This window comes from Homo sapiens, chromosome X, assembly GCF_000001405.40.
Source record: "Homo sapiens chromosome X, GRCh38.p14 Primary Assembly".
NCBI classification, from domain to species: Eukaryota; Metazoa; Chordata; class Mammalia; order Primates; family Hominidae; genus Homo; species Homo sapiens.
This window is the reverse complement of record NC_000023.11, coordinates 123,466,860-123,494,335: the sequence shown is the minus strand read 5'-3', so window position 1 is coordinate 123,494,335 and position 27,476 is coordinate 123,466,860. Positions and strand designations below refer to the sequence as shown.

Genomic DNA, 27,476 nt, shown 5'->3' with positions numbered 1-27,476 from the left:
GTTAGTAAATATTTTAGACTTTGGGCAATACTGTTGCAACTAGTCAACTCTGCCACTGCAGAGTGAATGAAGCCACGGAAAATACATAAGTGAATGGCTGTGGCTGTGTTCCAGTAAAACTTTATTAACAAAAACCAGTGGTGGGCTGGATTTAGCCTGTGTGCCAAAGTTTGCCAACCCTTGCTATAAAGTATGGATTGCAGTTTATTGATGACCTTGTCAAGAGAAGTTCCTGTACAGTGGTGGTGGTAGAAACCATATTGCAATAATTGAGGAAGTGGAGACTGAGGATGCAACAAGCTTTTCTGAAGCTGTACAGTAAATGGGAGGAAATGTGGACCTTAGAGGCCTTCACTGGGTTCAGAGAGGGTTTTCAATCTTTCAGATAAACTCTTGCACTCTCATGGGGGAAGACTGTAATGTTATTTGGGAATATTTATAGAAGTTGTTTCCTTCTGTCTGCTTATATTCAAGCCTCGTGTGAGCTGCCACCAGAGCTTTAATTGACTTGTTCAGGCTTAATGAATATTTATTAGGAAAATTGTAAATCAACCATTTTGCTATAGGATTGAAGCTCAGTGAAACCACTCCTGGGGTAAGTTTTCCAAAGCTGCTGACATGGGGAGAGGATTTTTCTTAGGTTGTCATTGTAGGTTCTTTTACATGTTTATAGCTAGGGCATTGTGAATCAACAAATAAGCAAATACCTCCTGCTCAGAAGGTGGAAAGGCTGGCAAGAAAGTGGTCATTCTGAGGTTCTCAGCAGCTATATGCTTTCAGGGTCCCGGTATGACTCCTCAATTGCAAAGGCTCACAGCTTTTGGGCACGAAGAAAAATTTAGTCAACTCCCCCACCCCCGATTGTATTAGGAAGAGCAAGTCCAAGTGAAGGGGCAAAGGGAAAGTCTTCCTTTTGGGCTTTTAAAAGTATTTTCTCTGAGCAGAGCAATATACATAAATGAATGCAGATTCTTTTCAGTCATCATCTACCTTGTACCAAGACTGTAAGCCCTCTGAGGGTAGGGGCCAAGATTGCTCCTTCCTCATCTGGCAAAGAGAAGCAGAGAGTGTATGCCCTCTCACAACCATCCTGTGCAGGTGACATATGGTTACAATAACAATGGCTGTCAGAGAACTTGGGGAATCTTGCCCATTTGAATGAATTTGTGAACCCTCAGCATTGAGGAGGTTGAGTATATGGCAGTAGGTTTGGGACAGTGATCAACCCCCTAAAGCCTCCCTCAATCTTCTCCTGACAACAATGCTCTCCCTGGAAACCTTTTGAGAAAATCTGAGTGCCCCATGTTTTCACCGAATGTAAATGGCTAGTCTATGATTCTTGATCTTAGGTGTGCAGGAAGTCTCCTAGCACTTCATAGCACTTTTAGTTCTGGAGGCAGGTTTCATTAATTCTTAGTGCAACCCACCATTCTCTCCTAAGAGAGAATCTGAATTCAGCTGTGGGAGTGCACAGAACTCCCACACCTCAGCTGCTGAGTTTCATGTCTGCCAAGTGATCTGATAATAAATTGGTCCCAGGAACCTCAGTCCAACAGAGTGAGGACAAAAGGGGAGGGGTATGGTTCAGAGTCGCTAAAAAGCTCAGGTTTTGAAAGTAACTCTCTCAGTAACAGTAGGTTTTGGTAGTGTTTGTGTTACAAATGGTTTCTGACCCTTGTGAGATAGCATATTAATGCATCTTTTGCTTGATTGAGTCTGAATTCTGAGGAATAATGGTTTTGCTTCTTGCTTCTCAATTTGTTCTCCTCTACGTTCATCTTCTGAAGTCACAGTTGACCCTTTCCCTCATCCAACAGGAGGGAGACGATTTCCTGCAACATTTCTGCCATGATCTTACTAAGGTTTCCTTAAATACATTTGTCCTTCCTGTTTGAAGATTGTTCTGTTGACTGAGTGTGATCAGATGTGAGTCTTAACAGGGCAAGAATACTGATGCAGAGACCAAGAGGAATTCTTCTTTTGTGCACAGGGAGAGTGTGGCATTTGAAATACAAGGCCTTTTTGAAGACCTGATTGGTAAGGTTGACTCTATGTATAAGCAAAATATCTAACTACTTATAGTCCAATTTGAGAAATACTAAAAGCAGCCCCCTTTGTTTCCTCCTTCTTCCAAGGAGAAAAAAACCCCAAAATCCCACCTACACCAAAATAGTGCTCCATTATCTGTGACAGCAACTGAGATTAGCTTCTCCTTTAGGGGTAAGGAATTGAAGTGGCTGTTAAAACATAAATCTATTGTTTTGGAGGATCCAGGGACATTGTTTGGTACTTGAACTGATTTCATCACTCTAATCTAGTCACTGAACTTGCTCCGGAGAATCAATTGTCTTCTGGTAGGACTGCAACAGGTGTCTTAATTTTAAAAAGCAGTTGAAGAGTTATGAAGTGTGAGTGGTTTAACAGCTATTTAGCATTTCAGAGCACAGTGAAAATGGTAGTAATTATGATGATGCCTACAGTAAGCCAAGCTGTCCACAGTGTGATTATATCAGCCTTCACTTCAGAATTTTCTCAGTCTTCCTTTCCCACTCCCATTTTTCTTCTTCTTTAAGCTCTTGCGTTCCTTGCTTCCTAACTCCCTAACCCCAGATATCTTTTTTCCTTGATCTCTCTAGCATCTCAGCTGCACTTTCCTTCTTTTTTGGTTCAGTTGCAGATTATCCCCTCTCCTTTCCTCCTATCATTATCCTCTGTTCTCTAAGGTGATTATGATATAAGCTGGTGTACATTTAAACACTTGCTTTATTTGTTGGATAAAGTTGTATTACGTGTTCAGAATCTACAAATCAGACTAGATAATTAGCTTTTCATTTCTCTGTCAGAACTATTCTAAAATCAGTATAGTTCTAAATTCATTATTTCTTCTCCCACTCTAGATTAGTGATCCTTGGTGGAATAAACGTTTTCCAGTTAGGAATTATTATTGGTAATTGAAGCAGCAGCACAAAACTTAGCTAAGCAATTAAGAGTACTAGGACATATATGTTATGATGGCATAGGAAAGTAATTGGAAGTGTTTTTGAAGGTCAATAATCTTGAATTTAGGTACTTCTGTGGGAGGTCAGTTGTGGAGATGGGAGAATTGAAGATCAAGTTTAGAGCCAAGGCAGGCCTCTGGAAAGGAGTCCCAAAGGGTGGAGGAGACAAAGAATGGGAATGGAAGATCCTAAAGTTAAACTAATCTAAGTTCTTGGATGTATGGTTTTGCTTAAGCTAGGGGTCTGCGCCTGACTACAGTTGCAGTTGGGGTGGGGAGAGGAGTAATCCTTTGTGAAAGTCACCAGTAAGGTGACTGTTACATCATTGGCAAAGCTTCTAGGGGAAGTCAGTTAGTGAATAACTTCTTGGCATCTGCATCCAAGTAAATTTTAAACATCTAGCCAAAGCACAGAAACAGAATTCTTTCTTTACAATTTTATTTACAAAATGTATTAAAACTTTGTACAATACCTCATGGCAATGAGGCTCTGTAGTTTATGCCCACACATGCAAATTACGCTTTTATAGCCATTAGTTTGCTTGGCAATTTTTCTGTTCACTGAAGTACAGCTTTAACAACAAAAAGAAAAGAATTGGAAAAAAAATCCTCAAGTGACTACTGCCAAACTCCCATAGCTTGAAGTTAGTAGCAGAAATTTGAAGCAATCAACTTTTTTTTAAACATGCAAGTTTTTTTTAAAAAATAACAAACCAATTTACCCGCCTCTTCATCTCAGTGACGTTTCCTCTCTGAAAAACTGATTTGAGTTAATAAACATACATTTTTCTTTATACAGTGCCTATGAAAACATTTGTGTGTAGGTTGGTTGGTTTGTTTTATACAACTTCATGTTCACACAGCGTGAGCTTCCCGCGCTGGGACATTATAGCATTCATAAGTTGAAAATCACAGTTTCATGAAAACAAAACAAAACAAAAACACAACAGCTTTCTTTTTTTGTTCAATACCATTTGAAATTTGACAAGTGAGTTGTTTGCTTATGACACCATTTTTGGAATGAAAGTTTATAGTACACTTTTCTGGAAACATTTCGTTGGAACGATACTTCTTCCTTTCTTTTCTGAAGACAAGAGCAAATATGCAGCGAGTCAACTAAGCATCTAAGGGTCACACTTGGGAAATGAATGCGAGCTCCTAGTTTTTGCAGTCTGGAAACTTCCCAATGCACGTTATCGATGAGAGCAAACTACTGAACTACAGGAAGCATACGTCGTTATATAGGAGGTAATTAGTGAGTGGAGACTATTTCTTCGGACTGTTCTGATGATGCCAACGGCAGGTATGCAGTTAGTTACTTGATAGCCCATGGAGCAGTGGAGCGATCTGAGAGAGTCAATAGAGAGACTGCTCCAAGCAAGGATCTGGAAGTGATGCTGAGGCCCTCAGATTAGCAGTAGGTTTGGGAATGCATTTTAGTCTTTGCAAACTAGAAAAGGACACATGCAGTCCGATGGAGAGCCATGGGCGGTAGCAGGCAACAGCTAGTAGGACAGACCTAGCAAGAGTAAAGTCAGACTGAGAACTGTGGTCTGAACCTGCTGTCCCGCCTTGCAACGCGGTCCTGTCTCCGTGGTGTACACTTGAAAGGCATACTTAGCAGAGAAAGCCGAGCTAAACACAGTGTTGTTTCTGAGATATTCTAAACACATCTGGGAGTATAGGCAGCATTTCCCTCACCTCAATGCTAGATACTCAGCTCTATTGACTTAAAATGCACACTGAAGCAAGAAAAACAGATCTGTGAGCTGAAATTCCAGGCTCCTTGGAAAGCCCCGGGATCCATTTTAGGAAAGCACCAAGAGGTATCCTGATAGTGCCCCGTCCCTTGCTACACACAAAGTCAATTTCGAAAGCTCTGTAAATCTCTTCTTTGAGTGGGAAGTTATCAAAGCATTTTCACAAAACCATTTCAAGAACACAGAGAAATCACTGTTTAGTCCCTTTTCCAAAGTGTTTGAATTTTCTTAAGTGTTGCATTTACATTCTAAAGATATACACATTTCAGCAACATTGAAAGGAAATAGAGTGCACAGAACATCACCACCAACAGGAAATACCAAAAACATCTGGTCAGCAGATCCTAGAAGAAATGCCAGTCCGTCTTCCCAAACACTGGGAGACAGATTTTTTCTTTTTAATCAGGAAGAATTAATTTTTTTAGCTTAGATGGGCCTCTTTGCTGAATTGGAATTTAAATGTGTGTGTGTGTGTGTGTGTGTGTGTGTGTGTGTATTAAAGAACATGGTGTTTATATACTCTGCAGTGGTATCAAAGAATGGCTTTTGTTGAATTGACTTAATAAGATTTTTTTTCGCATACTGGAATCTTGCATGTCCATTTTTGTTGGTTTTTATTTTAATTATTTTTTTTCAAGCAAAGCAAAAAGATTTCAATGATGGTTTGCATTGTCGCGAGTCTCAGAGTGTTCCATAAGGCACTGAAGGAAAAAAAAATCAGTTTTTCCTATTGAAAGGTCATTGCACCATCAGCAATATTCGTGTCATGCCCGACACCAAGGAGAGTGAAATCTGGCTCAGGATCCTTGAAGCAGCCACGTTTTCGGTGATTTCCTCTCATCACATGCCTCCAGTGGGAAGGGATCTGCAAAGGCAAGGGGATATTTAAATTTGAAGGGGCTTCCTATTAGGAATTGAGAAGTTTATAATGGCTCAGTCTATCTTGGACAAAACTATGGCTGTTTTCTGAAATTGGCATTTCTGGGGTTGCACCTCATTTATTTGACTGGCTTTAGGTGACAGGTCTGGTTACATTCTCTACTATATGTATTGTACTAAGGAATATGCAGGTGTTGCAGGAAGTTTAATTCAAGGCTTTAATCACTTATGATGTAGGTATACCAGAAAGTTTCCATGGCATTTTAATACAGATATTCACAAGAACTAAAAGAGTGTATTCTGATTGCAGAAACTATGACAAAGGATTGTTCACCCAGGACAGAGGGTAAACAGTGTTCTATGGCTTACTGAATTGAAATCCATTTTAACTGTGAGAAGAAAATATTTTGCTTATTGCTAGAAAAGTGAGCAATTGTTTCTCTTAGTACCTACAACCTTAGTTATTAAAGTCTGAAAATAGCTCTGGGACTTTAAAGAGACAGCAGATTCTAGGAAGAGGCCAGAGCAGTGATACCCATGAAGGGGACTTGGCATCAATGCGGTCTTTGCCCTGACATATAGGCCTGATTGAAATGCTGATAGTGTCTTCTTTTTGGAGGCACTAACTAGTGCAGGGGATTCATTTGCCCCTGATTCTGAATACTGTAGGACACTTTCTTACCTCCTCTTCAAGTTTACATCCCTCTCTTTATCCTTTCATTCTGCACTAATGAAACACTTCCTTTTCTTCTAAGCTAACACCGAATTTTATCCCAAAAGAATGACGTAATTATGATCTACCACTGGCCCTGTAGTAAAAGTATCTGTAAGAAGAATGTCAAATATGCACCTGAAGGCCAAAAGCATCCAAGGATGGTAGAATAAGACTAACATGAAAGTAGACAAACCTCTTCCTTGGCACCCCTAAGTCCTGAGTCATATGTATCGCAGAAGCTTGGAGAAGTTTTGTATCTGGCAGAAAGAATAAAGTCTCCCCCTGTCTCCCCAGTGGGCATGGGACATCACTAACTAGTGGCATGACTTTGGGAAAGGAACCCAACCTCTCAGTGCCTCTGTTTCCACTTTTAAATGGGGTCAAATGAACTATTATCACTGATGTAAAAGTCCCTTGGGAGAAAGAACATCATCACCTTGGTTATCCAGAATGCTTTTTTTTTTCATACTTAACATAACGTGAATTCTTTTCAGCAGCAAAATGTCTCCAGTAAGCATGCCTATGCATAGGCTACAGAAGGAAAGTGGATCACTTTGAAAATGGGCTGCATCCACAAAGCTAATATTTTTAGGATGACTAAACAGAAAACTCCTACAAGAAAAATGAAAATCTTTTCCCCTAACTTCAGGCATGTTGAGGTCTTGTAAAGGACAGAGATTTCAAAAATATTTTTGAAGAAACCAAAGAAGCCAGAAGTACTTCTGAACTGCAATTAGGAAATGAGAAATAACTTCCTAAAACAATTAGCACAGTCAACCCTAGGGTGCAGTGAATCTGGAGCACTTGATGGGCAGTCACCTGCCAAGGCATGCTTGGGAGGATACACTTCCAGTGGCTGGTCAGTAACCCAGAGAGGCACCAGGTAGTCAAGAGGCTTTCTGCTCCCTAGTGGGAGCTAAACATGATCTGAGGCCGAGGCACATGTTCCCACAATAAGCCCAGTAATCCTGATGTGACTATCACCCATAGAAAATGAGAAACGACTCCCTCATCTTTCAAGGATGCCCTTTTATTAACCAGATTTCACTAGATCACATTTTTGCAGGTGATTTGCCCTGAGTCATTTTTCCTGAACAATTACTGGTACTATAAACTCCCAAGGTGGGCTCTGATAATTAGTAATAGAAGTAAAATCTCAGGGTACCTCTTGATGTCGGTGCCCCTGGATAGACCTTGACAGATTTAGGCCAACTCAGAGAACTGGAAGCCTAATAACTAGGTAACAAATTAGAAGTCACCAGGAGATATTCCAGACCTTCTTGGGAAATAAAAGATGAGTGGGTGAAGATCTCACTCTTCACTTAACCAACATTCCCCTAATCACATCACCAAATTGGCTGAGGACAACAGAGAGGTTTCAAAGCAGCTTGCTTTATGCCTCTTGACTAACACAAGTGAGGTTTTCCTGGCGTCGTATGAGGCTTTTGCTTCTTGTCTGGAGACTTTGTACAGGCTTGGAGGACAGATTTGTTTGCAGATGCTCTTCCCAACCTTTCTTTCACCCTGGAGATGGTTGCCAAGGTGCTAGGTAATTGGGCTATAACCACACTGGCATGGGAGTCTATTAAAATGTGAGTGTTGCCTCAAGTAGCCTGAATTTTGCTTCACAAAAGTGGATCAACTCAGATGAGTAAAGGAAAGCCAGAAGTTGTGGCATATTAGTTTCTGAGACTTTCCCCTCAGGTTTGATGTTCCAGGCCGCCACTTTTGGATGGCAACATTATGTCCTAACAAAGGTTTGCTGATCCCAGTTTCTTTCCTTTCATTTCCTTTCAGTTCCTCCCTCCCTCCCTCCCTCCCTTTCTTCTTTCCTTCCTTCCTTCCCTCCTTCCTTCCCTCTTTCTTTCTTTTCCCCCCTCCCTGCCTCCCTGCCTCCATCCTTCCTTCCTTCCCTCCTTCCTTTCTTCCTCTTTCTTCCTGTATCTCTATCCCTCTTTTCTTCCTTCCTTTCTTTTCTTAAGTTACATTCTCTGAGTTTATTTTCTCTAGAATCTTTCTACTCCTGGGACCAGCAGCATCTGCATGACCTGGGAGTTTGTGAGAAATCTAGACCCTCAGGCCCCATCCCAGACCTGCTGGATCAGGATCTATATTTTTAGAAGGTTCCCACATGAGTTGCATGCACACTAATGTTTGATGAATACTGCTCTGGGGCTTTAATAAGAGTCTGAGGCTATAGTAATTGGATAGTAGGGACATAAATTCTCAGATGGAATCGTTGATAAAGAGTCTGGAGGTCATGTGACCCTGAGCCTTGATGTAATCCTGTTTCAGAAAGATTCTTTCTGGGGAAAGTAGGAGTGATTGAATATTCAATCTTGTGTGGAGTGCATAAGGAATGGGGCATATGGAGGCTTGGTGAAGTTTCTCAAGACTTTTTTTGTGGACAAGTGGAACAGAAACTCAAGATCTGCTCTCCATTTGACAGGATCCCATTAGGATTTCAAGTTTCCTGGGGGACATCAGGCCATGGGTGGTTAGAAGTAGCATGGTTTAGCAAAGATATGGCTATAGGCAGAAGAAGGGCTGGGTTCTAGTCCCAGAACTGCCACTACCTAACTGTGTTGCCTTGAGTAAGTCACTTCATGGGCTGGGTCTTACTGATAATTGCCTGATCCATCTTATCTCAAATGAGCCAATAGATGTGAGAACACTTGGATGACTGCTACACAAATTTCAGGTGTATTATTTATTTGGAGGCCAGCACCTCAAAATTTGGGATAATTAAGTTAGATTGAAATTGCTCATGTCCAGCAAGCCTGTCTATGTGTAGGCTACAGAAAGAAAGTGGATCACTTTGAAAATGGATTATGAATCATGTATTAATATTATCCTATAAAAACATATGCCCCAAATTGTAATGGGCCTATGGCACCTACTCAAGAGTAAAACATTTTAAGCACATTGAAACATTAAATGCTTGCATGCAAACAATGCAATTACAGATGAATCCATGTATTGTACATCCACCAATGCAATGGGAACACTGTCAGCGGATTGGTGCAGTGTGCTGAATATGTTGTGGCAAAAGGCAGGAAGAAGGAACAACCAGCAACTTCACTGGACAAAATTATGTTTTCCATGACCAAGACAAATGATTTATTTGAATGAAATATTATTTAAAAATTGGCTAAATGTAAATCCACAGTGTGAACTATAAGAAGGCCAAAACACAAATGCAGCCGGGCATGGTGGCTCACGCCTGTAATCCCAGCACTTTGGGAGGCTGACGCAGGCGGATCACTTGAAGTCAAGAGTTGGAGACCAGCCTGGCCAACATGGTGAAACTCTGTCTCTACTAAAAATAGAAAAAAATTAGCTGGGCATGGTGGCAAGTGCCTGTAATCCCAGCTACTTGGGAGGGTGAGGCGGGAGAATCGCTTGAACCCGGGATGTGGAGGTTGCAATGAGCTGAGATCGCGTCACTGCACTCCAGCCTGGGCGATAGAGTGAAATTCCGCCTCAAAAACAAAACAAAACAGAACACCCCCCAAAAAAACCCCAAAACAAAACAACAACAACAACAACAACAAAACACAAATGCACTTGTAGAAATCCCAGCATATTGACATTTACTCATGAGGTCAAAATTGCCTAAAATAAGGGGTATGAAGTTGCTTATTGTTCTGTTCCACTTCAGATAGGCATTTTAGTGATGACAGATGCACTTTAAAGTAACAAGACTATATTCTTTTAAACACGTCCAGAATGGAGACATTATTCTAATTCGAGCTTGCATTTGAACATTCTGAATTATTGGTGGTGTTTGTAGTTGCCAGAGTCAAGGTGGCAACACTCAGGTTCACTGAAGTATGAATTAGGGCTTGGCTAGCAGCTGGGAGCCTAGACTATCCTTTGATAGACACTTACCTGTGCACCAGTTCCAAGGAAGGGACAACAAAAGAACTCAAAGCTTAAGTGAATTATCTCAGACTTATACACTGTTTACTTAAAAGAACCACCTCTCCCTATGGAAGTGCTGTATTACTTGAGGTGGCAGTGTTTCACCTGTGTACCTAATTTTTTTTTTTGAGATGGAGTCTCACACTGTCACCCAGGCTGGAGTGCAGTGGCACTATCTCGGCTCACTGCAAGCTCCACCTCCCAGGTTCACGCCATTCTCCTGCCTCAGCCTCCCGAGTAGCTGGGACTACAGGCGCCTGCCACTATGCCCGCCTAATTTTTTGTATTTTTAGTAGAGACAGGGTTTCACCGTGTTAGCCAAGATGGTCTCGATCTCCTGACTGCGTGATCCACCCGCCTCAGCCTCCCAAAGTGCTGGGATTACAGGCGTGAGCCACCGTGCCCGGCCCCTAATTTTAATATCTGTTCCAGAGCAGCTGCTTTCTCTAGAGATGCATTGTCCAATACAATAACCACTGGCCATGTGTGACTACTGAACATTTGATATGTAACTAGTATGAGTCAAGATGTACCATAAGCATAAAATATACCCCAGATTTGCAAGATTAGCGTGAAGAATGTAAAATTTGTCATTCTTTTTTTTGTATTGATAACATGTTGAAAGGATCATATTTTGGATATATTGGGTTAAATAAAATGTATCATTAAAATTAATTTCACTTGTTTTACTTTTTAACATATGACTACTAGAACATTTAAAATTGCACACGTGGCTCATGTATGTGGCTTGCATATATTTTCTATTGAACAATGATGTTCTGGAGAATTGTATTTCCTTTTGGGTCACAGACCACAATTTAATTACAACCATTCTATTAGAAAAGCACCACTGCCTGACAAGAAAGCACAACCATTGTTTTCAAAGAATCAAATGGTTGCAAAGAGACAATGCTTTGAACAATAAACCAAACTAAAAAAAAAAAAAAAGAAGAAAAAAAGAGATTGACATACAGTAAAGTAAAGCTGATTAGTTTACTAGACCTTAACCGTACCCCTAGATCTTAACACTCTCTGTTCCATACACGTTGTAGCCTTCTCTGTATGTAGCATAATTCTGAGTGTTGGTGGCAGGAGCAGGCTTAAAGTTTTGGGTGTTCTTTGTGAGTTTCATGCGTTTGGACTCTGCCCGTGATTTGTAACAGAATTCTATCAAAGCCACCATCATGGCCAGCCCCAGACCTCCGACAAGTATATAGAAAACGCCTGCCACATTGCTCAGGCTCAGAGCGCTGGTCTTGTCCTAAGAGAAATGAACAACGTGATTAGATCTTGGGGAAAACAAAGGCAATGGAACATTATAATATATTACAACAGTACAGGGGAGTTCTAAATTGTAAAATAACTAAACATTGATGTAAGTGTTATGACTCAATTCTGGCAACTGGCTAATGTTTTGCAATGACCAGCAAGACGGTAGATTGTGCCTCTGTTAACAGTCTTGATCCTCACCTAAATGTCCTTTCATCTTGACTCCTTACGTTCCTTAGTGCCTCAAAATGGTGTTCAACAATTAATAAAACAGCACTTGGCCATGGGAACAAAAGAGTAAACACAAGCATAATTTATTCCTCTGCCAGCCTTGATAAACACCATTTGCCAGAGTTGAGCGGTGACATAATCTCTATAAATGTAACACTCTTTTCATTTGGGAACTTGAAGCACTCTTTCCCCTCTCTGCCCCGCAACACCCCTTTCTCCCTTGCTCTCCCTGTGACAAACTTTGTGAACGACTAGTCTTTAAGATACGACATGATAATATTAGAGGTTCCTGCTATTTTTCTCTGAGGAGTTATTTTGCAAGGGTTTGCTTAAAAAGGGTTAACTCTCCTCTTTCCCCTAGTGGCTGAGAAAATGCTCCCTTTGGAGATTGGCTGCTAAATCTTCATCCTAGTTAAAATCAGGGCAGCAAGTCTTTGTGTTGCTGGAACAAGGGCACAGCACAAAGAATTGGCTCCGTTCCATTTTCCTGAGAGTTTAAGGAGAGTGTCAGAGGATCCATCGGGTCCTAGATTGGCTCCATACAAATCAGAAAGCTTTTCCAGGAGGCTGATGATTTTTTTAAAAATCCAGCTCATTTTTAACTTTTACTCCAGGGAATGTAGAGAATAATTTTTAAAAATTACACTTATTTGCTTTCTTTGTAACAAGGGGGAAAAATTGAGGAAGCCGGTCAGTGACTTTCAGGTCAAACTGTGCAAATCTGACTAAGCTATCTGCCTGTATGAAAAAGCAAAATCTGAACTGCTGAACAATGGAAAGAAAAAAGTTGGTGTCTTGAGCCCTACCTTGAGGTAGGACACACCAAGGGCCAGGAGTCTTTCTTTGAAAAAGAAATAAAATAAAATAGCATTTTGTAGTCTTTTTAGAGGGTATGTAACCATTTTGCTGCTGAATGTAATTGAATGGAATACCCAAATTGTTAAGCCAGTGAATTTTGAGCATCTTATTTAAGTGACAACACAGTGACAGATGATGGCCATTGCTGACACTTAACACTCTAGTTCAGCTGGTCTTGGTATCATTTAAATAATTAAAAGTAAAGACAATATGGCCGTGTCCTTCTTATCCCATTTTCATAGAAGCCAGTCCTATACTTGTTTACTTTAATAAAAGGTCCAATTGAAATTGAATTGCATTCAGAAACGGGGTGTGGGAATGCCTCATATTCACAACAACCTTGCAAATAGTCACTCTTTTAGGATGAATGACAGCTAGACAAGTAGTAATAATTTCTGTCACATATGAAATATTGGATTATCTCTTTAAGGAGACTGGTGAGGCTATCTGCAAGGATGTTCCACAGTCCATTGGGAAATAGACCAATTTCTGGTAACCCTTCCTCTGCCATTAGACTTTTATATGTATATGATATTTAATGGGGGGAGAGGTCCTTTGACATAACCCATGTAAGCTGTGACAAGAAGAACAGTTTCAAGTTCCATGTATTATTTAAGTTTCACAAGAGTTATAGAATTCCCTGATGTGGGATGTAGAAAACCAGTAGCAAAATGGTTCATTGCACGGGGAAAATGAGTGGCATTTCATGAAATGAATTAACTGATACCACGATATTAGTCCAAAAAAAGGAAAGGCAAAAATTGAAACTAAAAAAGAACTTTCTTAGGGGAGCGAAGGGGGGCAGGAAGGAGGCGGGGAAGAGTGTTTCATGCTTATCAATGTGATGTTATCCTAACGATGTATACCTTTAAGGAGCATGCGACTAAATTTTAAAAGTATTACGTACAGAGATTCAAATGACACCTTTGGAAGAGAGAAGTGTGACAGACTTAATGAGATTCGAGATCCAAATTAATGCTGAACTCAATACAACAGCAGCTGGCAGGAGGCTAATCATTCTGCTTACAGAGACCAGTCTTTGTTATTTATTCGTTTGACTGTTTTCAGATGGGATTGACATAATATATTAATAACCAAATGCATTTATAACTACAAAGTCTCTGACACTGTAAGAGGTTAAGAGAAAGTACTGTCACAAATAAATCTTTCTTTTTTTTGGTTGTTGTTGTTGTTATTGTTATTATATTTTCTCTTTGAACTTTTGAAATGTGAAATACAGTAAAACCCCCTTATAACACAGCTCATTATTTTATAACTTTGGAAATGCAGTAGGCCAGATTGAGTTTCCTAATCATCATAACTGTTCTATAGAGTCAACAATTGATGTCATGTGGCAGGCCTCTGAGGCTGGCATTTGTCTTATTCCTTTAGCACTGTTGTTATAAAGGGGTCCCACTGTGTCAGGGAGTGTGTGTTGGGAAGGAAAGCCGTTTTAGGGTAGAAAATAAACAGTGGGTCAAAATGTGATTGCTAATCAGTACAAAAAGACCTTCAGCGACTGACCTTACTCCCGGAGTCCTTGGCTCCACATTCCCCCTTATCGTACCACCATTTGTTTTTCAGCTTGTCTAAGATGCCTTGTTCACTGAGTTTCAATACTGCAAGGTTTACAGGCGTTCTTCACGTGGGAAATAACATAAATAACATTATATTATGTTATTTTATGTTATTCAAGCTTCAAACTACTTTAAAACTATAGAAAGCGATAAAGCAGGGGGCCCTGGCCACAGAGTAATTTTAGACACTGCAGGCAACCTGAGCATTACCTTATAAAAAGTTAACACTACAGCAACGCTATATTTACCAGGGCCTGCCCATATCGCTTTGAGTAATCGGCACACACTGTTAAATAATGAGGATAGAAAAAAAGGCACTCCTCAGATAGGTTGTGTGTGGTGAGGAGGGTCTCCCCTCAGGTGACAATCGTCGGCGGCAGCTTGCAGTAGCTTTGTGAAGGAGATGTGTTAAGTTTGATCTAACTGGGTGTCTTGTTGTACTTCCAGACAGAAAGCAAATTTTATGGAGGAGTCGGGAAAAGGACAGACCCAGAAGGGGAAGTGTTTCCATATTGTGGACCGAGACAAATGGATAAATCCGAACAGAATTGAAAATAGATTCTACATAAATAACATGCCTTCTAATTAATTGTCCTTTATCACACAAGTCTGTTGCCCAGCTGAAAATGATCTCAGAAAGAACTGTACCACGTACATGTTCTTACTCCACAAACATGTAGTCGAAATTCTTATGCACATACTGGTCTTAGTATTAAAGGTATATTGTGGACCTCTGTTTTGGATAAGGGGAGTATTTTCAACAATGTAAAAACTGGTCTATGGATTGTTTTTGAGTTACTGATTGGCTGTCCTTCTGATATGGCCATATGTCTGTGGTCAACTTAGATCACCAGAGGGCAAACCAGATTGTTTCAAAATGGATTATTAATATGGCAGGGCCTAAACCAGCAAAATGACTCTGCCACTGTTGGGTAACGCTGTAGAGAAATAGTTTAATTGTTCTAGTAAGATAAGACTTCCTCAACTAAGAGGCTAGTACATATCCCCAGGAGGCCAGGCCACTGCTCCTTAGTCCTTCACTGCTTAAAACATAAGGACTGCATTCAGAGCCACTGGGCAAGTGCCCGAAACCCTACTGGTTCTAGGATAAAGATTTTCTCCCTTATAAATTTCTTCAGCTGTAAAATGGGAATAATGACCTTTATCCTGTCTTCTTTCTAGAGCTATTAGATTTTAAATGAAGAATCTTTAATGACTTGGGATAAAAAATGCACCATGTAGAGAGGGTGGCATAATTCTGAGGCAATAAACTGTCTGTTCACATTCATGGGAGCAATATTGCCAAATATTAGTGCATGTTGGTCTGAATGTCACTAACTTAAAAAGAGGACAGCAGAAAAATTTATGGAACTGTGAACATGCTGTAAAAATTTCTTAGCCTATTTTGGATAAGTTGGACCCACTAACATATCCAGTCACTAATAAGACTTGCTATAGTCACAGAGATCTGGTCTCTATCATACAAAGTCCCAAAACCTATTTCCTTTCTTCCCTCATTTGCTGTTTAAAACAGAGGGGCTATCTTATCTTCAGATAGTCTGAGAAAGATATAATCATTTAAAAATAATGCAATTTCAGAGTACTTGCGGTTTGAATAACTATAAATCTTTAATATCAGGGAGGTAACTTTCTTGGTTAGCGTAGGACCTGGCAGCCAGAATATTTGGATTTTGTATCTCACTAGGAAATTGAGATCCTTTTATACTTTAAACAAGTTCCTTCAACCAATGCTCGGAACCCCAGGCTTCTCAAATGCTAACCAGTTGCTTGGAATGCAAAGCAACAAAAATATACTCAAATAAAACTTTGAGCCTCTTTAAGATATTACTGGCAGTGAAAGTTAAGTCAGGCTTTCAAATGACAGACAGGCCATCGATGGCCCTGAGTTTAGTGTTGGCACTGTCTTCTCCTCTATTCTCCACCGTCTGATGCTCTTCTCTCTCTTCCTCTTCCCTGTTGTTGTCTCATCACTACCACTTCTCCTGCAATGCTATGCCTTAAGTCAGGCAGTGGCACCAGGCTCAGCAATGTGGCAATTAGCTCAGGATACAGGGGAAGATGCTTTCCAATGGCATATGAGTGACTGGGCTCATCAGGACCACAGGAGAAACTACAAAGCAAATTCTTCCTCCTTTCTGTGCTTCCTCTTTTCTTATTGCAAAGGGCCCAGTGTCCTCACACTGCTACCTGACTAAGCCCTTACCCGGTCCTGTCCTCCCTCCCGGTAATATGTTCTTCAAATTACGTCATTCAGTTTCTTCAGTACTGCTGCTCACCAGATCTTAGGAACAGAGCAGTCTGATTAAAGGTACTCACACTAAGGTCTAATAGGGAGATTTCACTGCTCCTAGAGATCCTAGTTTCAAAAGAAATTTATCAACCCTTAAGTGAACTACATTCATAAAAGTGTGGCATGTCAGTTTAGAGCAGTTGTTCTCAAAGTGTGGTCCAGGGACCCCCGGAGGATCCCTGAAACCCTTTCATCAAAAGATCTGTGAGGTCAAAACTATTTTTATAATAATGCTAAGTGCCCTTCTCACTATTATTCCTTCTTGATATACAGTGGAGTTTCCTGGAGGCCATATGATGGGTGAAATTACAATAGATTGATTGAAGAAGCAGAAATGAGAATCTCATTCTCTGTATTATACCAGATACCAAAGAGATTTACAGAAATATAGACAGTGCCATTCTTCTCACTATTCTTTTTATTGTTTTAGAAAAATAGTTATTTTTCATGAAAGTATATTATTTATGTTAGCATATATTGGGTTTATTATTTTTTAAAATGAATCAATGAATACATGAACAATTTTTCAGTTTTAATTTCTGATGTGGTAAATATGAATAGATGTAACACACATAAAGAAAATCTATTTGGGATTCTTAATCATTTTTAAGAATGTAGAGAAGTCCTGGGACAAAGCATTTCAGAAACAGGTTTTGGAGGAGGGAAGGCTATTCTTGTGCTAGGGGTCCATGCTGGGCTGCCACTGTCCACTCTTGCCAAAACCCAGGCTCAGTACATCGGTGACTTAGCATCCTACTTCTGAACAATGGCTTATCCCTGCCTTAGGCCATCTAGTGGCTTCCACGAACTGGCTAGTAACTGCTTTTCACTCCCATGGCTTAAACCATTACAGTGTAGGTTACTTTAGAGCAATAGTTTTCAACCAGAGGCCATTTTGTCCTCCAGGGGACATTTGGCAATGTCTGGAGTCATTTTTTGTTGTCACACCTGGGTCGGGGCCGGGAGATGCTACAGGCAACAAATGCTGCCTTTGAGTATCCAGACCTCCTGTGAGATACCACAGGACTTTAGAGAATTTTGACAAATGACCTACTCTTAGAAGTTTAGCCTTGGATCGGAAAAATAATCACAGGGTTTATGAAACCTGGCAGGGAACCAATGTGCTTTTGGGAACTTCTAAATAAAAATGAGGGAGAAAAACAAACATTTCAAGCAGCAGCACAGCCAACAAACATAAAAGCTGTAATCAGAAATCACAGATAATACCACTTAACAAGGTTACAATAGATGCCAAGAAAAGAAAGTACTTTAAAATCCAAATCTCCTAGAACTCTATGTTGCTGTGGGGTAGACTAAATTTCTGAGACGGCAGAGGAAAACTGCTTTTGTCCACATAGTTTTCTTTCTTACTGTACCTTATTAGATGTGTTACCTAGCCCAATCCTAACCAACTGAAGGTATTGACACCCTCTCCCCAACACACACACACACTCTTACACATAGGTATTTTGAAGGAAGTGGAAATAGGTGGGCATTTGATCATTTTGAATGTCATTTTCTCCATGAAGCCATTTTTGCTCTTCAATGTTTTCTGTCTCTTCCATGACTTCTACCTTGCCTTATTATTTATGCCTATGTCTTATGTCTCCCACTACACTGTGTGCTTCTCAAGGGCAGGGAATATGGCTCATGTATTTGTATCTCCATTTAGGATATTTTTCTTAATAAATACTTGTCAAATCAATAACTCTTTTAGTATTTTGTTTTTCAATCTAGTATATTTACATACTTATTATTATGATTATAATTATTGTTCAGGTTTAATGATCACCCTAAGAAGGTAGATTTATGGTGTCTATTTAATACAAAAAGAAATTGAGGCACAGATAGGTTAAGCAATTTGCACAAACCTGTGCAGCAACTTATGGGGTGGGTCAAGAGGCCAATTAATATACATTGAGCTGTGTTCTGTACATTCTCCAATGGAATACACAAAAGGGTAGCATCCCTCTTTATTTTTGCTCTTCAAGCTTAGATATTTGTGATGACTTTATTTTCCTTTAGGGACCCCCATACTCCAAATAACTATCAATCTAGCAAGGGTGTATTTTGCAGCTGGGGCCTTTTACTGTGGTGCAGCAATGTCTCCAGTGTAATGTTTCACAGCAATTACTGCAGGCCCTTAACTGGTACCTAAGAGAATTATAAGTCAGAAATATTTATTGTACTCACCTCAATAGAGAACAGAAAGAATTAAACAAAGTAGGTCAGATTCCTATCGTGGAAATTAGTCAGGCACTCTCCCCTCTGAAGGGCTTGCTATGAACTTTTTGCTGAGTAGAGCCGTCTTAAGACAAAGACATGAGTCAGCAGGCTTAGGGAAAAAACAGGAGTGCTTTGTGACATAATTTCATGGGGACTGGGAACATCCCTCCATCCAAAAATATTTATCTCACTGGCAGCTGAAATTCCACTGTGAGAATTTCACATCTTCAAGTGACATGATTTGTTAAAATACAAATCCTTCTGAGAAATGGGAAATGAAACAAAGAGTAAATATTTATAAACTACAACTCTTTGTTCTATTTTGTCTAAAAAAATGTTTGAGGTGGGGTGGAAGAGTGTAAGGTTCCCCTAAGAAAACATTTTGTGGCATGTAAGTCATAAAAATGCATATGGATTGCTGATCAGATGGAGAGAGTGAGAGAAATGGGAATTAGATAGTCATTTAAAAGTATGTGAAGTTAATGCTGAATTGTGTCTCAGTGATGATTCCTGAGTGTGGGGAACAGTCATGGAATTACATCTGTCTGTTTTTTATATGGAGGATAGTAATGTAATTCATAATACTTTGATAATGAGTTCATTTTTTGAAGAAAACATTATTGGATTATAAAAATTTCTGCTTATCTCTACCATCCACACCTGCCACTAACTCAGCTACTAAGACTGCTCACAATCCAAGGCCTCCACCTGCCAGCTGGTGGTCTCCTGGATTCCAGGCTCAGTTCCTGGGTTGTACCAACCAGCCATTTTAAAGAATCAATGTTATCTTAGTGATGGCCAACCTTACATATGGAGACAGCTTTAGGATAAGAATGCCATTGATTTTTTTTTCTGTGAAAGTAGAAACTTATTTTTTTTTTAAATTTTTATTAATTATTTATTTTTGAGACAGAGTCTCGCTCTGTTGCCAGGCTGGAGTGCAGTGGCATGATCTCGGCTCACTGCAACCTCCGCCTCCCGGGTTCAAGTGATCCTCCTGCCTCAGCCTCCCAAGTAGCTGAGACTACAGGCACATGCCACCATGTCCAGCTAATTTTTTATATTTTTCGTAGAGATGGGGTTTCACCATGTTGGCCAGGATGGTCTCAATCTCTTGACCTTGTGATCCGCCCACCTCAGCCTCCCAAAGTGCTGGGATTACAGGTGTGAGCCACCACGCCCAGCCAAAACTTAATTTTTTTAAAAAACAAAATAAATAAAACTTTTGATGTATTTCAAAAGAACTGCTTAATTTATTTTAAAGTTTTAATTTCAGGAAATACCTAAAATAGTAAATAGCAAATAGTAGCTTAGAACCAGGTTGGATTCCTTATCATGAACAAAGAAATGGTGAAGAGAGTGATATGAGGGTGCTGAGCTTAGGGGAAAAGAAGGAAAATTGGGTCTTGTCAATTAATTACCAAGTTGATTCTGTGAAATAATCTGGTGATCCTGGAAGGGTAAAGAGAGGAATCTATACTGTCAATATGGTTCTGGGCCTGAAAAATATCAGAACCCAGGTTGTAGTATGATTTAGTCCCCTGAAATACTATGGGATATATACTACTATAAATGGCTTCACTTCTCCTTTCAGAGCAGGGACACCTAAAGAGCAAATGTCTGTTTAATTAATTATTCCAGAAGATCCTCAATGGTGCCCTTAGGAGAGATAGATATATGTGTAAATATGTAGGTTATGGAGAAAGACAAAGAGATCACAGAGAAGTAAAAGAAATGTATGAGCAAGGGTGGTGCATTTGCATAGTCAATTAGAAATCTGCTCTGATAACACATTATCTGGATGACGAGAATGGAAACTTATCACGGCCTAAGCTGGAAGCCCCTCCCTCACCCTATCCCTTAACCAAACCCTTGCTCTAAGTTACTAACACCTGCTTCTTGGTATCTAGTGATCTTTTGGGAACAACTTTTTAGAAATGTCTTTGGCCCAATGGAGGGAGAACAGCCATCCTCTCTTTTGCTAACTCTTTTACTGAAGATGTTTCAGGTTTTCATGATGGCAAAGCATCTTTCCCAATCACTCACTTGCTTCTCTAGCATTCTCTGGAAAAGCCCCAGCATCACCCAGGACATAACAGGCATGTACAGGCAGGCAGTCACAGACATCTCTGCCCAGGTTGGTCTTGCTTTATTTAGCTGAAGCCAATTGATGATCAAGCAAAAGAAGAATATTTGCTGTATTAAAGAATTTACTATGTGGTACTTTACATTCTTTTCTGTAGATTAACCTGGGATATGTATAATGAAGGGATTTATCTCTCCATATAGCAGCTGTTTAAGGCCATGGCAGTTCAGAATATGCCCTTGAGTACACCAGTGTCTGAAGTCCTTTAAAACAAATCTCTATCCCTTTGTTTTCACAGGGGTTCCTGAATGTAGGATTCCAGGAAAATGAGGATTTTATTTCAATCCTTCTATCCTTGGATCAGCCTGGGCTTTCTGTACAACGTGGGAGCATGTGCATATATGGCTGCTGGCATTACTGAACTCTGGCAACCTAAATAATCCTCATTTAACAAGGGCAGCTACAATGATTTGCAGTTATGCAGTGCTTAGCTGCTAGAAACCATCTCTGAGAGAGTATTTATATTCATGTAGTTCACAAATATAGCTCAAACCTATTTAACTCCTTGCTATTGGGATAATAATTTAATATAAGTGCAAAGAGAAAATTCAATAATGCGTGCATATAACATTAAGAGTTGAAAGCTGTGAGTCATTTCACTAAGGGCCTAACAATGCTAGTGATTGAAACCTATTGATGAGCATCTATGCTGCAGCAGCAGCCCCAGAAGCAACTCTTACACACATGGGTAAAGCCAGTGACATTTCTAAATTACAACCTCTCAAATACAGAGCAGTAGACCCCTTGATTCCATAGGTTGTGTATTTCACTGATAGATTTCTACTAAACTGCCAAACTGGACCTCTGTTCAACTTCTCCATCTAGTAGTTGAACCCAATAGTCTGGGAAGACCTCTTACTCAATTTATCCCTGACAGAGAGAAGGGGCTCAGGGAAAATGCTAAGTTTTGAACAAAATATGGCCATAGACACTTTCTCAAATACATAATTGGCATGATTCACTTGAAAACTCTGGTTTAAGATCCTTTGAAAGATCAAACTATCAAATTTTATTGGGTTTTATCATATATAAGTGTGTTTTCTTTAGTTCATTCCAATGGCACCTAGAGAAGCATAGAATGAGAAGAGAGAAACAGATCGGTACCAGAAACTCACATGATGTATGTTTCTGAAGACATTTAACTCATTCCCCTGATCCTAGACAAAATATGCATTGAGAGTTCAATCTGATGGGTGCCAACATCCTCTTTATTCTCCAATAGCCATCCCTTGACCATGACTCATAGAAAAATAATCAGTTTTAGCTAGATTGCAACAAGTGAAGTCTATATATCAGATCTGAAATCAGATCTGTTTGCCATGCCAGGGCATATACCACCCTCTATTAGCATACATTCTAGCATCTACACATCACATCTGCCCTTCCAGCAGTGATGTTAGACAGGACATACAAATAGTCATATATATATATATATATATATATATATATATGAATGCCATTGCCTTAGGTATATATTTTGAAAAACATTTGCTTCAATGCTAGATGAAATTAGGCAAAAAGGTGAATCCAGCACTTGGACAACACTTTTGCCACTTCTGATCAATGGGGATCAGCCTCATGTGCCAAGGGCCAAATGCTATACCGCTCTCTAGAAAGTCAAAAGAGAATGGAATTCAATTGTTCGTAAAAGAAATTTGCCCCCACCCTGTTCCACCAACCCCAACTCCCACCCTCACCAAATATATTTCAATTGCATCAAATTTTTCATGTTTCTTTTCCATGGCTGTCCTACCTTTCAGAGATTGTGTATAACCTTCTCTTCAAATGAAAGGAAACCAAATGATTTGGTCTTCAAAGGGCAGAAAGGGAATAAACATACACCATTTCACTGTCTGCCACTGCAATGGCATCTTTCCTCTTGGCAATTGTATAACAGCATTCTTACCTTCAGGCTTTTCATTCCTGTGGCTCTTTCTGTAGCTCTGGTGTTGGACATTTGGTCATTATTTGTCAATAAGAAACACATTCATGTTATCAGGATAACACCAAAGGCAAATAATAATGTCCTAATCATAGAAACCATGTTAAGGCCATAGTTCATTTTTTAAAAAATCATTAGAATGGAATTATTTTTTAAAAGTGTTTTCTTTCTGGATTACATTTTTTTCCGGTGGTAGAATTTATTCTTTAATATCATTTGGCAAAATCAATGGTTTTGGCAGCCATTGGACTGGTTCAGTTCTTAAGGCAACAGGTCCCTTGCTTGAAGCAGTCACTTGAGAGAAAGTGAGGATTTGCTCTTGGGAGGAAGACCTGAGTAAGTTCAAGGAGCAAATTTAGTGACTACCAGGAAAGAAAACTGTCAGGTTCTTCATACTTCCAGGAGGCAGTACCAGCATAGAATCATGCAAACCAACGAAGAGCACAATATACTCACCCTACTCCTCGATCCCAAACCAGAGTCTTGAGGATTCACAGGAACTTCTGCTAAGACCCAGGAAGTGCCATCGATCTGTAATGATTCTTGCCTACACACATAACAGTGTCAATAAAGAGTCATTGGGATCCATCTTAACCCTGAGTATCCGAAATGTCAACCTTTAGGGATGGCTCCTGCCAATAAAAGGTCCATTTTGTTGCAGGCAAAGGCAGATGCAGATTCATATCCATTACCCACGGCCCAAGAAAGTCAAAGAATTCTGGGTGTGGAAGAGAAGTGGTTAAGAGACGGTGGCATAGGAGAGGAGAATTGTAGACATACATGGAAGAAGAAGAAATACACACAAAACTGAAGATCTCATGTATACCAATGGGAAATACAGTATAACCTCATTCATCTATGTGCCACCAAATATGAAGCTGAGGGATTTTGGAAATGGGCTGTCCGAGAGTGTAACTTTTTACTATCTTTGAAGAGAAGACTTGCTAAGCAAATGCATGGGATTTAAAAAAACAAAGATAGCTAGTGATAGGGAGGAGGAACATGTTTTAATTTCTTCAGAGAACAAACTCTTTTTAGGTACCTTAAGAGCACCCATGTGAAAGGAAACACCACTGATTTTAATTGCAGGCATTTTTTGAAACGATTTAAACAAATTCCCTATGTTTTTTCCTAGCATCACATTGGTCAGTTTATTCTAGTTCCTATATATTTTTGAAGATATAGTAAAACTGCATTTCTCTATCAATATTCTATAAGTCATAATGAGCATCTTACCATTTATTTAAATAATGGAGGTTCAATTGCACATCCCATCCTCCTCCCTCATTTCCTTATATGCCTCTCAAGTTAAGGCACCCACCTATCCTACAATTATCATTGCAGTCAAGGGGCTCAGAATGGTCCCTTTAAATATTGTTACAATGTTCCCAAGAGCACACATGTGCTGATTTTCATCTTGGAATATATGGAAACTGGGAGTCTATTTTAATCCCTAGAGAGGACTAAAGTCTGGTATAATTCTGTGGTGAGGTTGGGTAGGGTTTGTTAATAACTTTCCACCTCAGTCACAAATAGCTCGTTTCACTGACCCTACCCTATCTTGTAAGGTAAGGCTAGATGGGAAAGCGAAGCTGGTGCCCTTTACCCAAGATTAAGGGAATGAAGTAGGGTGGATAAGAACATAAACTTTTGAGGGGACAGGCAGCTGCAGAAGGAGGCTGATGTGCCTATGTGGTAGTTCTGTACATAAATCCTCCATTCTGCTGTGATTTACAATGATAGACTTTCACTGGCTATGTCACAAATCCCTGGTGATCTGGGTTTATCACTGAAACAACCTACTGGCTCTTAATTACTGCATCTGCACACACATTGTAATAAAGCATGAACACAAAAGGGTGATTTGCAGGTTAAAAATTCCCAAAGCACAGTTCTAATTTACATGATCCTTGCATGTGCATTTACAGTTCATCAAGAAATGATCAAGTCTGTTTTGTTTAGGTCCTATTAGCTCAGGTTTGGGAAATTGGGAAAGCCAAGGAGTATTCTGGTTTCAGCTTGTAGGTATGGTTCAGGGGCTGCCTCAGAGACTGACCTTGTTTTTAATTCCCTGTATCCATAAAAATAAAATAAAATAATAAAACATTAGTTTTATTAGTTTAAGCTCATGCACATTTACGACAGCCTGAAAATTTGCTGTTTCTTTCCATAGTATGGTAACTTTTCTAGACTAATCTCAGAATGTGTAATGTCTCATGCCAGGGAAGAAAAAGTCAATGACTTAATATAATTGCCCATTTATCATTAGTTAAAGGTTGGAGAGAGAGAGAGAGACAGAAAGATAAGTGATACAGGTATTTCTCCCTCTTCTGGTTTCAGAGATAATAGGTCTGAAAGTGTTTTTGAAAAAGTAAAAGCACTTATAAATGTCAGGCGTTGTGATTATTGTCATTTTTAGTAATCAGTACTGAGGGCTGGAACAGCTTAAATATGCCTTTTGCCTAGTAACCAAGGTAGTTGCGAATGAACCTGATTCTTATGGAAACATATCGCTTGCAATCAGATTCACATTGCTCATTGGATAGGTGGTAGTGCTAAATTGCCATCTGCAATATTATCACAAGAGGTGACTCTGAAAGTCAGCAGAGATTTATGACAGCATTAGCTGTGTGACCTTCTCAAAGTCATCACCATCTCTGGATCGCACTTTCTCTGTGAAATGATGGTATATTCAACAGTCAATTTTCATGTTAACGAGATGGGACACAATGAAGAGATGTAAATCTCAAGTCATTTTGCTAATACAGTAAAACCTCACTGATTTGGAGGAACAGAGGGAAAGGATTGTCTGAATGAGTAAAGCAAGTCCTGCATTACAAAATAGGTTTAAAGAATGACAATTTTATTACTTTAAGTCTATTTTGTAATTCAAACTGACTATAAAACATTGCCTTAGTGGAGATCCTCGTGAGAGCTACTTTAGCCTATAGATATGTAACGAATATGATTATATCTAATAAGTGCTTCTAACATTTGAAAAGGGTTTGTTCTCTTAAGAAAAAATTCAACTGACATTCCAGTCTAAACTCTTCATTTGCTTAACAAACCTTTCTTGTCCTCATGCCTGATAATATAAAGTTAACTTGTAGACTGGTCCCTGTCTAGTTTATCACAAATTATTAATTAGAGGGCTTCAAATTAATGAGGTTTTACTGCTATTTCTACCTCCTTCTCCATTGATTTTTTTTTTTTGCATCACTAATACGTAGTGGTAACCAGATTCACGTTCATCTCTTGCCCCTTCTCTTGCTCACTCTCAGAAAACAGCAGGTAGCAAGAAGGAAGAAGACAAAGGCAAGCTTCTTGGTAATCCAGAAATGGAATAAGCAATCGTTGGGTATGCAGCACTGATCGATCATACTATTATCCATAGTTGAGAAAAGGGTTGACTTATTTCAAAAGACTGGCTGTAGGAATGACCAAGGAAAGCGATTTGAAAGATGCCTGGCAGGTAGCACTATGGTTAGAGAAGTTGAAAACATTTAGGATCTACTGAAATATTTTTCTATTTGCATATCAAAATTCAGATAATCTGGAAATCGTGAGCTGTCAATAAAGTTACTTGATAAAAAACTTTGCAGCAGTACTAGCTGAGGGAAAAAAAGCTTGATTGCTGGTTGTAATGAAAAAATAGCTGGTCTAAAGTTTTGGGGTCTTCATGTACCAAAACATCTGGGTGAAAAGTAAAAAGTCAGCCAAATATGTGCAGATTTTTTTGTTTGTTTATATAACATCAAACGTCTGGTTATCTGAAAACTTCTGGGCACTTGGCATCATGTGGATGTTTTAGAGTCATCTTGTTACAGTCCATGGCTCCTTTTTAACCATGATGAGTATGAATGATGAATTCGTGAGAGCAATGCATCCAATCCAGCTCAATTTTCATTCTGCAACTCACTTCAATGATACAATTAGGTTCTCCGTGCAAATAACATGAGAAAAAGACAGGTGCTAAATACTTTGGCCATCAAGTTGGCCATTGTAAATATGAAATGAGCCAAAAGCTTGGCTAAATTGTCAGTGTCATCAGTTCACATTGGTGGGAAAGAAAGTTACTGCTTTTTGACACATAGTAAAACCTTGATTAATTGGAATCCATAAGGGATGAATGGAATTTTCAATAAGAACAACCATTTTGTTCATTGTTGGCTAATAACAGTTTTTCTTAAAATGCTTCTATCTACTTTCTCGCCTCAGGGAAGCAGCCTCTAACGTTTGAGGGTCAATCCAGATGGAGAGAAGATAGAGGAGAAAGAGCCGAATGTGACCCAACCATAGGTCATCTCTTGGTAAGTATTTTTTAAAAAAATCAATTCCTTGCAGTCTTCTTTTTTGGAATACTATTGCTGCTTTCTCATCAATGTGAAGTACTGAAGGGGCAATTCAGTTAGTTGGGGTACTGGTTAGGTGAGTTCTGGTTAATCAAGGTTTTACGATAAAAGGCCATGCCAATGCCTGGTAAGATTATTTGCTGAAGAAAGTTCTTTTAAAATTGATTTCTTTGAAAGTGTTCTGGATCAGTGTTTCCAAACCCATATTATATTTGCAGACTGGCAAACTAACTTTTCCATCAGGATCCTGAGGGATAGAGAGGGAAAGAGAGGAGCAGAAGTGCAACC

General features: G+C 39.5%; 1 protein-coding gene across 2 annotated transcripts in view; it reads right to left on the bottom strand.

Annotated features, from left to right (window-relative positions):
- GRIA3 (glutamate ionotropic receptor AMPA type subunit 3) overlaps positions 3,421-27,476 on the bottom strand; it is a 306,638-nt gene continuing 282,582 nt past the window's right edge. Inside the window, exons 14-16 of one of the 2 annotated variants that reach the window (NM_007325.5) lie at positions 14,159-14,273; positions 11,290-11,537; positions 3,421-5,623 (exon numbers count right to left, since the gene is read on the bottom strand). In NM_007325.5, coding sequence (NP_015564.5) covers positions 11,292-11,537; positions 14,159-14,273 — 361 coding nt within the window. In that variant the 3' untranslated portion in view covers positions 3,421-5,623; positions 11,290-11,291. The remainder of the gene's footprint in view (positions 5,624-11,289; positions 11,538-14,158; positions 14,274-27,476) is intronic. The other variant, NM_000828.5, reaches the window with a different exon arrangement.